Here is a 14119-nt window from a genome sequence, read left to right on the forward strand (position 1 = left end):
TATCCCCCCAGATCTCTGCAACTCCGTGTTTCATAGCTACGATGAAGCACTTGCTCATTCATTGCACTCTGGGAACTCATCTCCCCAGAGCAGCTCTGGCTGGCCCCCAAGCCCAGAGCCGGGCACAGAGCAGCTCCTGTCCTCTGGTCTGCTGCAAGCAGGAGGTACCCAAACCACATTAATTCAGGTCTCTGAATGGAAGTAACTAAGGCTGAAGTTTACTTCTACACTATCCATGAAAAAATGATTTCCCAGCAAATGAACAATGTAAATGAGGCAGCCAAATGGTGCTTCACCTATTTAAAGGAATAATCTATTTTAAAAATCTTTTAGAAGCTTTTAGTTACCCAGAAACAATTGATACGGTAATTGCAAGCCATTTTTTAAATTTACTTATTAGAGAAGACTCCCTAAGCTCTGTTCACCCACTCCCATGCTCTGCTAACCCTTAGGGAGCTGGGTACTAAATGCTCGCTGTCCTTGTAGGCCCCATCTGTAAAATGGGGTCAAGAGTAGTACCTTCCCCTCCCTAGTTGACCAAAATGGACAGAGAATGCCCAAAGGACAGAGCCTTCACAGGGCCACCTCACCTGCACTTACACAGTATGAATGGACAGATCTGGGCAGATGGCACTGGACTCAGCCAGGACAAAAGAGAGCTTTGACCTGAGACCAATAGGGAGGGGCTGGATGGTCAGACAGGATTTGTGTGGGGAGGATGGGGGTGGAAGCAGAGGCGATTTCTCATTGCTCAGCCCAAGATGGTAGCTGAAGGAGCCCCAGGCACAAGGAGCAGCAGCCATGGCCCCCTGAGCACCAGCACCGCAGATCCCTGGCCTGCAAATCGATTCTGCTTTCTGTTTGATGGGCTTGTTGGCTTCAGCTTGGGGAGGAAAAACAAGCTCTTTCCCAAGGAGAGGAGCCGTGTCAGAGGTGGCTGTGGTGCCTCCATCCCTGCCGCACACCCCATCCCCACCCAGCCCTGTGAGAGATGCTGGGTCAGCGGGCAGGACACCATTCTTAGCCTCTCCCCTGGCCCTAGCCAGGCCTCTGCCTGCCTGGTGGTGTGGGGCGAGGCAGGCCAAGATGCCTGGGTTGAGGGGCTCCTGCGGGCAGTTGTCTGGCCCTGTGCACCTGCTCACCGCGGCTGCTCCTGGTCCAATGTGTGTGGCCCTGGATGGATGTGTGCATTTGGTGGGGTGAGAGAGTAGGTAAGAGTGAAAACAGGAAAGCAAAGGGCAGCATCCACAAACTTGGAAACATCAGCCTGCTGTGGAAGGGACGCTCAAGCCCCTTGTCCACAGTATTGCTGAGCTCTAGAAGGGGAGGAATTGGGAGCAGCTGGGAGCAAAGCTCAGAATAGGACCCAGGAGGCTCTGCCCCCGGCTCAGCGCCATGTCCACAAGACTCTGTGATACACCTCTGTGGGGTTCAATATGAGGACAAGAGGATGGGCATCTGAGCAGCCACTTCCTGCATGTGGTGAGGCAGCCCAACACAGTGGGCTTTTCCGTTTTGCAGCCCCCACAGAGCCAGCCCCTCCAAGGGAGCACGTTTCATTGGCAGCAGTGCTGGCAGTGGCAGCTAAGCCCTTATAGGGCACCACTCCTCCCAACCTCAGCAACCTCCTCTCTCCTCCTGTGGTTTTCCTAATAAACACCTTTAAAATATTTATGAAGGCAGCTTCAATGAAGTAACACGACATTGATTTAAAATGATTTTCTTCTAATAGGTAGCTTGAGCATGGGCTCCATTTCCCAAGCTCCTAAGGGCAGGCCCATCAGGGTGAACCCCCAGGATGGGCATTCAAGGCTCTCCATCAATGAGCTGAGCAGTGGGGATCCCTTCCCTCTCTCAGGGCCTCCACTGGGGGGCCAGGTCTGGTGACAAGTGTGGTGTGACAGTGTCATAGGGCTCAGGAACTGGACTCTGGTAGAAGGGGTCTAGGGGATCAGGCAGGCCAATTAGGGCTCTGGAAGAACGCCTGACATGGGAAGAAGCTGAAAACTGGAAGTCTCCCTAGAACCATGGATAGCACCTCCAACCTGTGCCCCTGGGGCACTGAGAAGCCCAGAAGCTGGGAGCTAGGACTCCTCGGTCTCTGTCCCACTTTATTGATAGGAATGGAGAAAGGCTGTACTCCAGAAGGAGGTGATGAGCGCCATGGGTTTCTAGGGAGGAACCTGGACTGGGATGCTGTGGCCACTGAACAGTTGGTAGCTGAGTTTAGCTGCTCCCCAGCAGCCCTGGCTGGAAAGGACACAATGGCAATGCCTTCTGTGCACGTGTGGGGGTGGGTCGGGAGCAAGTCGGGATCTGCAGTTGGCCCTCAGATTTGTCTGTCTGGCCTTTGAAACTCCAAGAAGCCACCACCTACCCTCCTTACACAAATCCCTGAGCTGCCCTCTCTTGACAGGATTGTACTTTGTCCAATCTCTTCCCGGCACAGAGGGGGAAACTGAGGTTCCTCCCCATCTACCAGCCTCTCCGCAGGCTAGAAGGAAAATCCCATCCATATCTATCTGGCACGCAGACAGAAGGCCCTGATGGAGAAATTTTGGGAGGAAGGTTCTATTCTCAATTCTCACCCCACTCATCCCCAGAAAAGTCTAACAAGAGCTGTTTTCATCACCATTGCCTAAAGCCTGGAGCTGCTCTAATTACGTGTCAGGCTTGAATTTGACAGGAAGCATTTTAATTATTAATTTGAAGTGTGCTGAGCATGGGGTGGAGGAGGGCCGGCTCTCCAAGCTCAGGCCCAGCCCTGTCTGTTGGGACCTCATTAATAATACCTCAGACCTCCCAGCCTTTCTTCTCCAGATGGAGCCTCTTCCCTGCCACGGCCCAGGATCTGCACCTCCCACTCTTCTGACCTTCTAACCTCTCATTTTGCACCATGCTTTCTTGTTTTCCTTATTTTCCTAAGCCGTTTGGCACAGAGTCTACTGTTCCCATTACATGGGATGGAGCAGACTGAGGTGGAGGGAGGGCAGGGAGTCCAGCGGATGTCACAACATGCATTAGCCACGGGCAGGGCAGGGCTTTTTGGGGTTCTTTAGTTGTTGCCTGACAGCAGAGGTGGCCTTCTGCAGGGCTGTCTCTCACCTGCTGTGTGCCTTTATATCCATATCATCTAGGGTGGCATGCAAAGTTTTTTCAATTTGTTGCCTGCATCTGATCCCATCTGATCCTTTTTTTTTTTTTTTTTAAATGCAGAGTCTTGCTCTGTTACCCAGGCTGAAGTGCAGTGGTGCGATCTCAGCTCACTGCAACCTCTGCCTCCCGGGTTCAAGTGATTCTCCTGCCTCAGTCTCCTGAATAGCTGGGATTCTAGGCGCCTGCCACCATGCCTGGTTAATTTTGTACTTTTAGTAGAGATGGGTTTTCACCATGTTTGCCAGGCTGGTCTGGAACTCCTGGCCTCCAGTGATCTGCCCGCCTCTGCCTCCCAAAGTGCTGGGATTACAGGTGTGAGCCACTGCACCTGGCCTGCATCTGATCCTTTTAAAGATCAGTTTCTTTGCTTCATTTACACCCAGGTATGGGTGTGCCCTTTGGGCTCAGGGGCCAGACCACTTGTTCAGTCCTAGGTGAAAGAGTCAGAGCCTGTCGTAGGCTAAGGACATCATTTTGCCCATTTTCTCTCCTGCCCTCAATTAAGAAAGATTCATCCCCTGCTCATTGGTTGTTTTCTGAGTTTAAACCCTGGCACTGTCCTGTGTGTTGGGGCCTGTCTCTTCTGTCACACGTCATTGTTTCTGCCTTCTGGATTCAGGACCACAAAGCTGCAGGCTGGGACGCAGCCCTGGGGCTGAAGATTGTGCTGTGTCACATGGGTCTAGCTGCTGCTGTGGTATGTGACACTGAGATTGCATTTCTGTCCCAGGCTTCCTTCCTTCTGTTGCTGGCCAATCCCCTTCCTCTCCAGGGCATCCCTGCCTCTGCCTGCATCCCAGGCTTGGTGCTCAGGGGCCTGTGCTCAGCCACCCGCCCCTACTTCATTTCTTGATGCAACCTTCCTTAGTGTTAGATTCTGTGCTGTAGTTGGATTGGAAAGTCATGATCCACTAGGGGAGATAAGCATTTATGTGAATTTGATCTAGGCAGAACTGTGGGGTCCAGAGGAGGGATCAAGGAATCCTGGAAGAATTGGGGCAGATTTTCCAGACACGGTGATGTGAGAGCTGAGTCTTGCAGGACATTTGGTATGTTATTCATAGTTGGGTACATTGAACAGAAGCAACTGTATTTTAAACAGAAAGGAATTTAGTACAGGGTATTGGGTGCTTACAAAGACTGAAGGAGCCTGCTTGGGGCTGGGTCTCAGGAAATGATTTTTTTTGAAATGGAGTCTTGCTCTGTGGTCCAGGCTGGAGTGCAGTGGTGTGATCGCAGCTCACTGAAACCTCCGCCTCCTGGGTTCAAGCTATCCTCCTGCCTCAGCCTCCCAAGTAGCTGGGATTACAGGTGTGCACCACCACGCCTGGCTGATTTTTCTTTTTTTGTTTGTTTCCTTTTTTTCTTTTCTTTTTGAGACAGAGTCTCACTCTGTTGCCCAGACTGGAGTGCAATGGCACGACCTTGGCTCACTGCAGCCTCTGCCACCTGGGTTCAAGCGATTCTCATGTCTAAGCCTCCCATGTAGCTGGGACTACAGGCACACGCCACCATGCCCTGCTAATTTTTGTATTTTTAGTAAAGATGGGGTTTCACCATGTTGGCCAGGCTGGTCTTGAACTTCTGACCTCAAGTGATCCACCTGCCTCAGCCTCCCAAAGTGCTGGGATTATAGGCGTGAGCCACAGTGCCTGGCCAGGAAATACTTCCAGAATACAGAATATCACAGAACTGAACAACCAGGGGGCTGCTACTTTGTCATGCAGTAGGTTGAATAATGGTCCCCAAAGATGTCCATGTTCTAATTCCTGGAGCCTGTGAATATTACCTTACCTGGCAAAAAGGACTTCACAAATGTAATTAGGTTAAGAATCTTGAGATGGGAAGATGATCCTGGATTATCTAGGTGGGCCCAATATAACAACAAGGGTCCTTATAAGGAGGCAATAAAGCAGAATCAGGAAAAAACAAAGGAGATGGATGACAGACCAGGAGCTGGCTTGAAGACGGAGGAAGGGGCTGTGAGCCAAGGAAGGCAGGAGGCCTCTAGAAACTGGACAAGGCAAGGAAATGGACTGTCCTTGGAGCCTCCAGAAGGAACTCAGAGCTGCTGACACCTTGACTTTAGCCCAGTGAAACCGATTTTGGACTTCTGACCTCCACAGCTATGAGAGAATAAATGTGTGTTGTTACAAGCCTCTGAATTTGTGGTATTTAGTTATAGCAGCAAAAATATGGGGAATGGGGGAAGAATCATTGGAACCATTGGGTTCAAGACCATGCTTCAACCTGATCCAGGGTACAAAAAGAAACCCATCGCTGCTACCCTTCCACACCCCTGAATCTGAGGCCTCAGCACTGAAATGCTGCTGCAGTTCCACAGGCTTACTGGCTGAAAGCAGCCACAGATAAGCCTCCAAATCTGCCTTCCAGGTTTTGCCAAAGGGCCTCTAATTGCTGGAACTTAATTCACACACAACTTCAGCTGCAAGGGAGCCCTGCATGTTTAGCTTCCCAGGCACTGCAGTCTAGCAAGGCCATGAGAAGATGGCAGGAAAGGGATGCTGAGTGTTCACCAAACATCTCAGACACAATGGGGAACCATTAATGATGAAAATGAGTAATATGCATTAAAACCTGACCACGGGCTCACCAGGAAAATCTCCCACCAGCCCATGCATGAATATTGAGTATGCCTCTGTGTAAAGATGAAGCTAAGCTATTTGCCCAAAAATCCCACAGCAAGGAAGTGACGGAGGCAGGTTTGAATCCAGCTTTCGTCTACTTTAGCGCTTGAGCTTCTAACTGCTACACAGTACTGAAGAGGGGCAGGGTCAGTGCCACGAGGGGAAATGGCCTTGAAGAACACAGATGCATGAAGTAACCAGGCACTTCAGGGAACTGCAAGCAGCTCCTATGCCTTGAACAAAAGCTGCATGGAGAGGAGAAGCAAGGTGAGTAGAGAGCAGCAGAGGCCAGGCCACGAGGGTCTCCGGCGCTCTGCCAAATGGCTGCACTGCATTCCTAAAGACCACCAGGCACCATGGAAATCTTTTTTGCAGGCTTTTCCCATAAAAGGTCTTAAGACAGGAGAGCAACAATTTGTTTCACATTTTGTATGTGAAGAAAGGTTTATACTAGATCAGAGAACTGAGTCATATAGGAAAGACAAAACCCTGACCCTGGTCACACACTAAACCCTGACCCTGTGATGGGCTCAGGGTCATAGACTGAGCCCCAACCCTGGAGACACACTTAGCTCCAACCCTGGTCATAGACTGAGCTCCAATTCTGGTCACACACTGAACCCTGATTCTAATCATACACTGAGCCCTTACCCCAGTCACGCACTGAGCCTTGATCCTGGTCACACACTGAACCCTGACGCTGTGATGGGCTCAGGGTCACAGACTGAGCCCCAACCATGGGAACACACTGAGCTGACTGTGGTCACACACTAAGCTCAATCTCTGGTCATAGACTGAGCTACAATTCTGGTCACAGAGCCCTGATCTGGTCACACACTGAACCCTGACCCCAGTGGTGCACTGAGTCCTGATCCTGATCACACACTGAACCCTAATCCTGGTCATATACTGAGCCCTGATCCTGGTCACAGATAGAACCCTGATTCTAGTTATAGACTCAGCCCCTTCCTTGATCTGAACTGAGTCCTATTTTTGGTCTCTCCCTGGGCCCTATCTCTGGTTGTAGACCGGCCTGTCTTACAGTTGAGCTCTTATTCCCATCCAACCACTAGGAAGGCCACTTATCACTGGGGCAGTCAGGCAAAAGTGTGATTCATTCAGTGCAGCCCTTCTCTATTGCTGTGTCCACAGCCCAGGATGCACATCTTTAAAAAGCAGAGAAGTCTGTTTGTGTGACGTGAAAGATGACTAGACATGCTTACTTAGTGCTTGATGAGTCAAGGAGTAGGAGAAGGTGGAAGAGGAGAAGGAGATGAGTTCCTAGAACATTAAGCTCCCTTTTCTATAATGAAGGGAGCTCTCACTACAAGCCTAGAGCTCCCTGCCAACCAGATAGGAATGCAGAGGGCATAGCGACAACCTGGGACTAGCTGTGCTCTGGCCTGGGGCCTGCTGGGCTTCCGGGAGAGAAATCAGACCTCAGCCTCTCCCACGGCCAGAGGCCAGTAGGATCTTACTTAGTGAGATCCTGCATGTCACACGGGGTAGCAGGCAGAGTGGGCCCTTGTGGCTGGGCCCTGAGGAAACAACCCATTTGTCTGCCGGCAGGTGGGTCCAAGGTACTCACAGTATACTTGAGTCACCCCAAAGTGGTTGTAGATGGGGTAAATCTCTTCCTTGTGCTGGAACCCGTGCATTGCCCTCCACACCCCACCCCTCCTTTCCCCTTACAGCTCTAGAGGTCACTTGGGCCATTCCTCTCCACACCGCCAAGCAAATTTCCACTAATTAAAACTGGAATTTAACCACTCTAGCAGCCTTCTGTCCTGTCCATACAGTCTCCAGGGCTCAACAATGGGGTCTACCCACTACCAGATGTGGTCGTCTCCAGCGTGGAGGAGAGAAACCATTCTTAATGGGCAGCTTGTTAACATCCCCAGGACATGACTGGTTCGGATAGACCCACTTCCAGCAAAGTGCAGCTGCCTGTGAGGCTCTGCTCCAGCCCCACCCTCCTGTCCTGCCTCTGCGATGACATATGGGGCAGGTACTATCCCTCTCTGGACCTTGCGAACTGACCCTGGGAGCAGCCACAAGAATGCCGCCCTGAACCCTTGTTCCTGAGCTCAGGACATTTCCTATGCCCAATATGACAGGGAGGCAGAGAGCCCTTGAGAGAGAAGGAAACAAGACGGTGGTGGTGCATATTCTGGCAGGCCCTGGGGAAGGGGCTTCACACATATTTTTTCATTGAGCCTTCACAGCAGGGCCATTGGTGGGTTTTATATCCTTAAGAAAATGAAGCTCCAAGAGGTGAAATAGCTGGTGCAAGGTCACAAAGGTAGGAGGAGATGGACCCCCAGTCTGGAACCAGGGCTTTCTGGCTCTGAAGCCAGAGTTAGGATTAGGGACCTCACTTGTAGGCCAGCCTTCTCCTGGCTGGCCCTGCCCACCATTTGGTCCAGAATACAAAGCAGCTTCTGAATCTGGCCACGGTTGGGGCAGGGGTTGGTCAGCTATCTTGAGCCTCAAGACTCTGGGATGGTGTCTGCCAGCCTTGGCCTGCCATGGATCCTGCCCTCTGCATCTGAAGTTTTGGGATGAGGTCTCTGCCAGGGACAGAAGGTGGTGAGGTGGGGATTATGGATCCTCTTGGGACAAGCCTGGGGCCAGGAAGGGACCCTTTCACTAGCCACACTCTGTCCCCTGCTCTGTTCCATGTGGAAATCTCTCTGGGCCCCAGTGTGTGCGGTGAGGGTACCGTGGGCAGCTAGAGCTCAAAAGCATGAGGTCTGAGGCTCTCAACCTGGTCCAGAAGCCCTGGCAGCCTCAGCTTGGTGTCAGGGCCATACGTCCTTGTGGCCCTGTGCAGGTGTCATAATCACCATACTGCCTACCTCCAGGGCACACTGCTGTGGTGTCTCCAGCAGAGCTGTGCTGAGGGGGGCCATTTACATAGGTGACAGTGTGAGTGGTGTCCCTGGAGTTGTGCAGTGGCTCTGACAGGTGCCCTCAACACTCCCTAGGGAAAGAAGTTCTGATAGTGATGGGGCAGGGGCACAGGGCCAAAGGGAAGAGAGCTTGTCTGAGGGGTACATTGCAGGGCTTCTGGGACAGCCTCCCAAGGCCAGCAGTAATGGGGAAACGAGGGAATCTGATACTGATGCATTTAGCTAAACCTTGCTTTTAGGGCACACCACTGGGCCTTCAGAATATGCAAGCCTATGGGGCAAAGATACAAGAAAAATTCACTTACTGACATCTTGCTATGTCCCATTCAGTACTTGAAAAATGGCAATTACTCAGTGAATGAGTTATCCATGTGGCTGGCACTACAGTGGATTGATGAAATAGCAACAAGGGCTATTTGATTTGAAGATTCCCTTATTAAAAAGCATGAAATCATCCCTCAGCCCTGCAATGATGCTCTAAATTTAAAAGCAAACAAAGCAACAAGAAACCAAAACCAGAAAAAAAAAAAAAACCACCAAAACAAAACTGGGTGAGTGCTTCGCAAAGTCCAGCAGAGGCCTGCTGCCTCAAAGCACCAGAGGGTCAAAGTGGCCTGTGCCTGCCTTCACTGCCCCACGACCCAGAATGAAACTTCCTCCCTTTCAGGAAGCCTTTGGGAGTCTTGACCCTCCAACTCTGAATCTGGAGAGGGAGTTAGGTCCCATGGACAAGGGTGGGCCAAGCAAAGGCAAGACGTGTGTTTATTCAATGTACATTCACTGAGAACCTTATGGAAGCATTGTTTCTGCCCTCGGGCTTGCAGTCAACTGGAGGAGACAGCTGTATGGGGGAAGATAAACCTCAGTGCAGTGATGAGGGTGGGTCAGAGGCACACTTAAGACGCAGCAAGGCAGAAAGGAAAAGACACGGCGAAACAAGAGTTTGGGGTAGGCTGAATTGGCAGGAATCAGCCTCATATGCCTGCAGGTGCCAGTGCGAATAAATGAGTCCCTGGGCCAGTGTGGGGACACTGGTGAGTGCCTGTCCCACCCAGAAGGGCCCTGCTGCTCAGTTCCTGCTGACTGGTTCTGTGCGGAAATGCCAGCCCAGTGTTGTCACAGCTACTGATTTTTTCTAAGAAATCTGAAATTTTACGTAAAATGCTGTTTTTAAACTACTGTAGGAAGCAAAACAGGTATGCAGGCCACCAGTCTGCAACCTGTGGATAAGAGAAATAAATATCCAAGGAACCGAAAGGTGAGCAGGGTTAGCCCGACCTGAAAAAGGGTGTTCTCTGGGCTAGAGTTCTCAGGACGTCCCCACCCACCCCGGGTAGAAGGACCATCTGCAGTTTCCCTGACACCACCGCCAGCCTCCAGCCCAAGCACAAGGGACCGCATTTTTTTTTTAGGAAGCCAGAGGAAAGACTGGAACCCTCTGGGAGGCCCATATGTTGACTGGGAAGACTGAACTCCATGTCTGGGGCACCATCCTGAAAAACTTTTTCTCGTTTACACCAGGCATTGGAGTGAAAAGTCTGTCTTGAGAGGGGCTGGCAGCTCTTAAGTACCAGGACACTGCAGCATGTGCCACTCATTGAAGTGGTGTCAAGACTGAGCACACCTGGGAACATGTCCTAGACCTACCCCCTTGCCAAGTGGGGCTCCTGGCTCCTGCTCCCAGCCCATATCCCAGAGACCTGCTGACGCTCCCCTTGGTGCCTTTGGGATCACAGGTTTACCCCTAACCACCCTCACCCCCTGCAGGTCAGAAAATGAGCTCATCATACCTAGAATTCACCTGCTCTCAATGGTTGGTTTTCTAGATTTAAGCCTCCGCCCTCCCGCTAGGTCTACAGGAGGAAATAAGCCTCCTCTTAGTACTGTCTCTACGGAAACGGTAGTGTCTGGAGGGCAAAATAGATAGTGCCGATTGTTCACTATGGGCAGGGGGCAGTGAGCAGGGTTCTATCCCCTCCCCACACTCCCAGGTTACTCTTACTATATGAACCTCCTCCCTCCCCTCCCCCTTCCCCTTCCCCACCTCACGAGCTGGACTTGTGTCCGGAATCCGTAGGTTCTCGGTCTGACTTCAAAAATGAAGCCGCAGACCCTCGCAGTTGAGTGTTACTTAGTTCTTAAAGGCGCGTTTCTGGAGTTTGCTCCTTCCCATATTCGGATGTGTTGAGAGTTTTTTCCGTCCGGTGGATTCGGTGGTCTCGCTCGTTCAGAAACGAAGCTACAGACTTTCTCCGTGAGTGTTACAGTTCTCAAGGTAGCGCGTCTGGAATCGTTCGTTCTTCCTGGTGGTTTTGTAGTCTCGCTAACCTCAAGACTGAAACTGCAGACTTTCGTGATAAGCGTTACAACTCACAAAAACAGTGTAAACCCAAAACATAAAAAAAAAAACCGCCTCCACAGGATGGAAAACAAACCCACCAGGTTACCACTACGGGCTCGGGCAGCCCGCTTTTATTCTCTCATCTGGCCCCACCCACATCCTGCTGATTGGTCCATTTTACAGAGAGCCGATTGGTCTGTTTTACAGAGAGCTGATTGGTCCGTTTTGACAGGGTGCTGATTGGTGCGTTTACAATCCCTGAGCTAGACACAAAAGTTCTCCATGTCCCCACTAGGTTAGCTAGATACAGAGTGTTGATTGGTGTATTTACAAACCCTGAGCTAGACACAGAGTGCTGATTGGTTCATTTGCAAACCTTGAGCTAGATACAGAGTGCCGATTGGTGCATTCACAATCCCTTAGCTAGACATAAAGATTCTCCAAGTCACCACCAGACTCAGGAGCCCAGCTGGCTTCACCCAGTGGATCCCCCACCGGGACTACAGGTGGAGCTGCCTGCCAGTCCCGCGCCCTGAGCCCGCACTCCTTAGCCCTTGGGCGGTCGATGGGACTGGGCGCTGTGGAGCAGGGGGCAGCGGTCGTCGGGGAGGCTCGGGCCGCGCAGGAGCCGACGGCGGGTTGGGGGCGTGGCTCAGGCATGGCGGGCTGCAGGTCCCAAGCCCTGCCCCGCGGGGAGGCAGCTAAGGCCAGGCGAGAAATCCAGCACAGCCGCTGCTGGCCCAGGTGCTAAGCCCCTCACTGCCCGGGGCCGGCCGGCCGGCGGTTCCCAGTGCGAGTGCGGGGCCCGCGGAGCCCACGCCCGCCCGGAACTCGCGCTGGCCCACAAGCGCCGCGCGGAGTCCTGTTCCCACCCGCGCCTCTCCCTCCACACCTCCCCGCAAGCTGAGGGAGCTGGCTCCGGCCTTGGCCAGCCCAGAAAGGGGCTCCCACAGTGCAGCGGTGGGCTGAAGGGCTCCTCAAGCGCGGCCAGAATGGGCGCCGAGGCCGAGGAGGCACTGAGAGCGAGCGCGGGCTGTGAGGGCTGCCAGCACTACCTCCTTTGGGAAGCTGCTCACACTCAGCCATTTAGCTAAGGAAAAATTCTCCATTTTACAGGGGTCTCCTGGGAAGGCCCCACCACTGGCCATCGTGTGTCAAGGAACCCCACAAAGATCAGGGCCCCTCGGGATCTTTCCACAGCTGCTCCACAGGCAGTGCCTTGCAGTGACACCTGCAACCCCCACCCCATCCTGCTTTCTTGGGGGTGGAGGACAGGTCGGGTGATGCCTGGAGACTGGGTTTCTGTGGCTCTTCTAAGATAGTGGGGGAGGAGAGGACACCAGGGTGGGTCTGCACCATCAGATTTGTTGTCCACAGTGGGAAGTGCCTGACTTTACACATCCCAGCATAATAGGAATGGAGCAGCCTGAACAGGAACTGAGAGCCAAAAGCCTCAGGCAGGTGTGTAAGCTTGAGTGTTCCTGGCAGGGAGTCATGTCTGATCAGCACAGTGTCTGAGCCCTGGATAGCGTCAGCCTGAGGTCACCCTCCAAGACCCCTTGGTCCCCTAGTCTGGCATGGCTGGTACAGGTAAGGTGGGGGTGGGCAGGTGGTGATGGCAGCTGTGCTCGCCCCTCTGGTAGGGGTTCGGGGCAGGCCAATGGAGGAGTCAGGTTGCATCAGAATTCCAGCTAGCTCCCGTGTAACATGTTACAGGAAGGTGCAGCTCCAGCATCCCACCCCTCTGCCCTGTGGGAGAAAGAAAAGGGCACTGCAAATGCATTGCAGGAGGGACGTTTAACCCGCTTGCAAGATCCAATTATCTTCAAGGGCTTAGCATATCTATGTTACTTACCAATGTGCTAATTGTGTGCTGTTCTTATCTATTCATAAGAGTGGGTCCCTATCATGATGGTCTACTGGATAACTGTTGCTGAGCTATCATAAAGCTATTCTCCCAGTATCAGACTAGACAGGATACCCTGGCTTCCTCCCCCACAGTTAAAGAGGATGGAGTGGCTCTGAGTGGGGCTCTGGGGACTCAAAAGTCCCTTGCAGAAGGTGCTCTTATCTTTTCCATTTTGCACCAATGTGCACCTCTACTTTAACAAGGGCTCTCTCCACCATCTCCTATATGGTTCCCCCAGCCACCTTTGTGAAGTTCCACCAGTATCTCATGTCCTTCATTCCCACTTCTAGGTGACCCAGCTCTATTCCATTTCAAGTGAAATTCCATGTGAAATCCTCCCTCCTTCCAGAAGCCTTTTCCTTTTTTTTTTTTTTTTTTTTAAATGGAGTTTTGCTCTGTCGCCAGGCTGGAGTGCAGTGGTGCAATCTCAGCTCACTGCAACCTCCACCTCCTGGGTTCAAGTGATTTTCCTGCCTCTGCCTCCTGAGTAGCTGGGACTACAGGCTCCCGCCACAATACCCGGCTAATTTTTTGTATTTTTAGTAGAGACAGGGTTTCACCATGTTGGCCAGGATGGTCTCCATCTCTTGACCTCATGATCCACCCGCCTCAGCCTCCCAAAGTGGTGGGATTACAGGCGTGAGCCACTGTACCCGGCCCCCAGAAGCCTTTTCTAGATACTCCAGCCCCACCCATTGTCAGGTAAGCCTAGACCAGAAAGGGCAGTGATATTTACTGGGCTTAGGGCAGGCTAGTCTTGGCTCTGCCAGAGAAATGGAAAGGGGGAAGGATGCTTTGGACTTGGAGCTGTTTTTCTGCTAGTCACCCAGTCAGTGCCCCAGACCCACCAGAAACTAGGGGGTGGTTCTGAAAGTCTGGCCTAAAGCGGAGTTGAAGTCAGGGCCCAAACCCTGGTGAGCACTATGTAAAGTGCCTAACAATCACATAGTATGCTATACATTGTAGCACTTATATATAGTGTAAATAATAATGGCAATGTCAGTCCCCAGAGCAGCCAATTTCTGGCTGTGTAACTTAGAATGAATTCCTTATTTGTTCATCAGTTGCCTCCCCTGACCTGTAAAATAAAAATTGTGGTTAATTCATTTACTCAACAAATAATTATTGAGCAACATATTCTGTTCTAGGTACA

This window comes from Homo sapiens, chromosome 15 (genome assembly GCF_000001405.40).
Source record: "Homo sapiens chromosome 15, GRCh38.p14 Primary Assembly".
Lineage (NCBI taxonomy): Eukaryota > Metazoa > Chordata > Mammalia > Primates > Hominidae > Homo > Homo sapiens.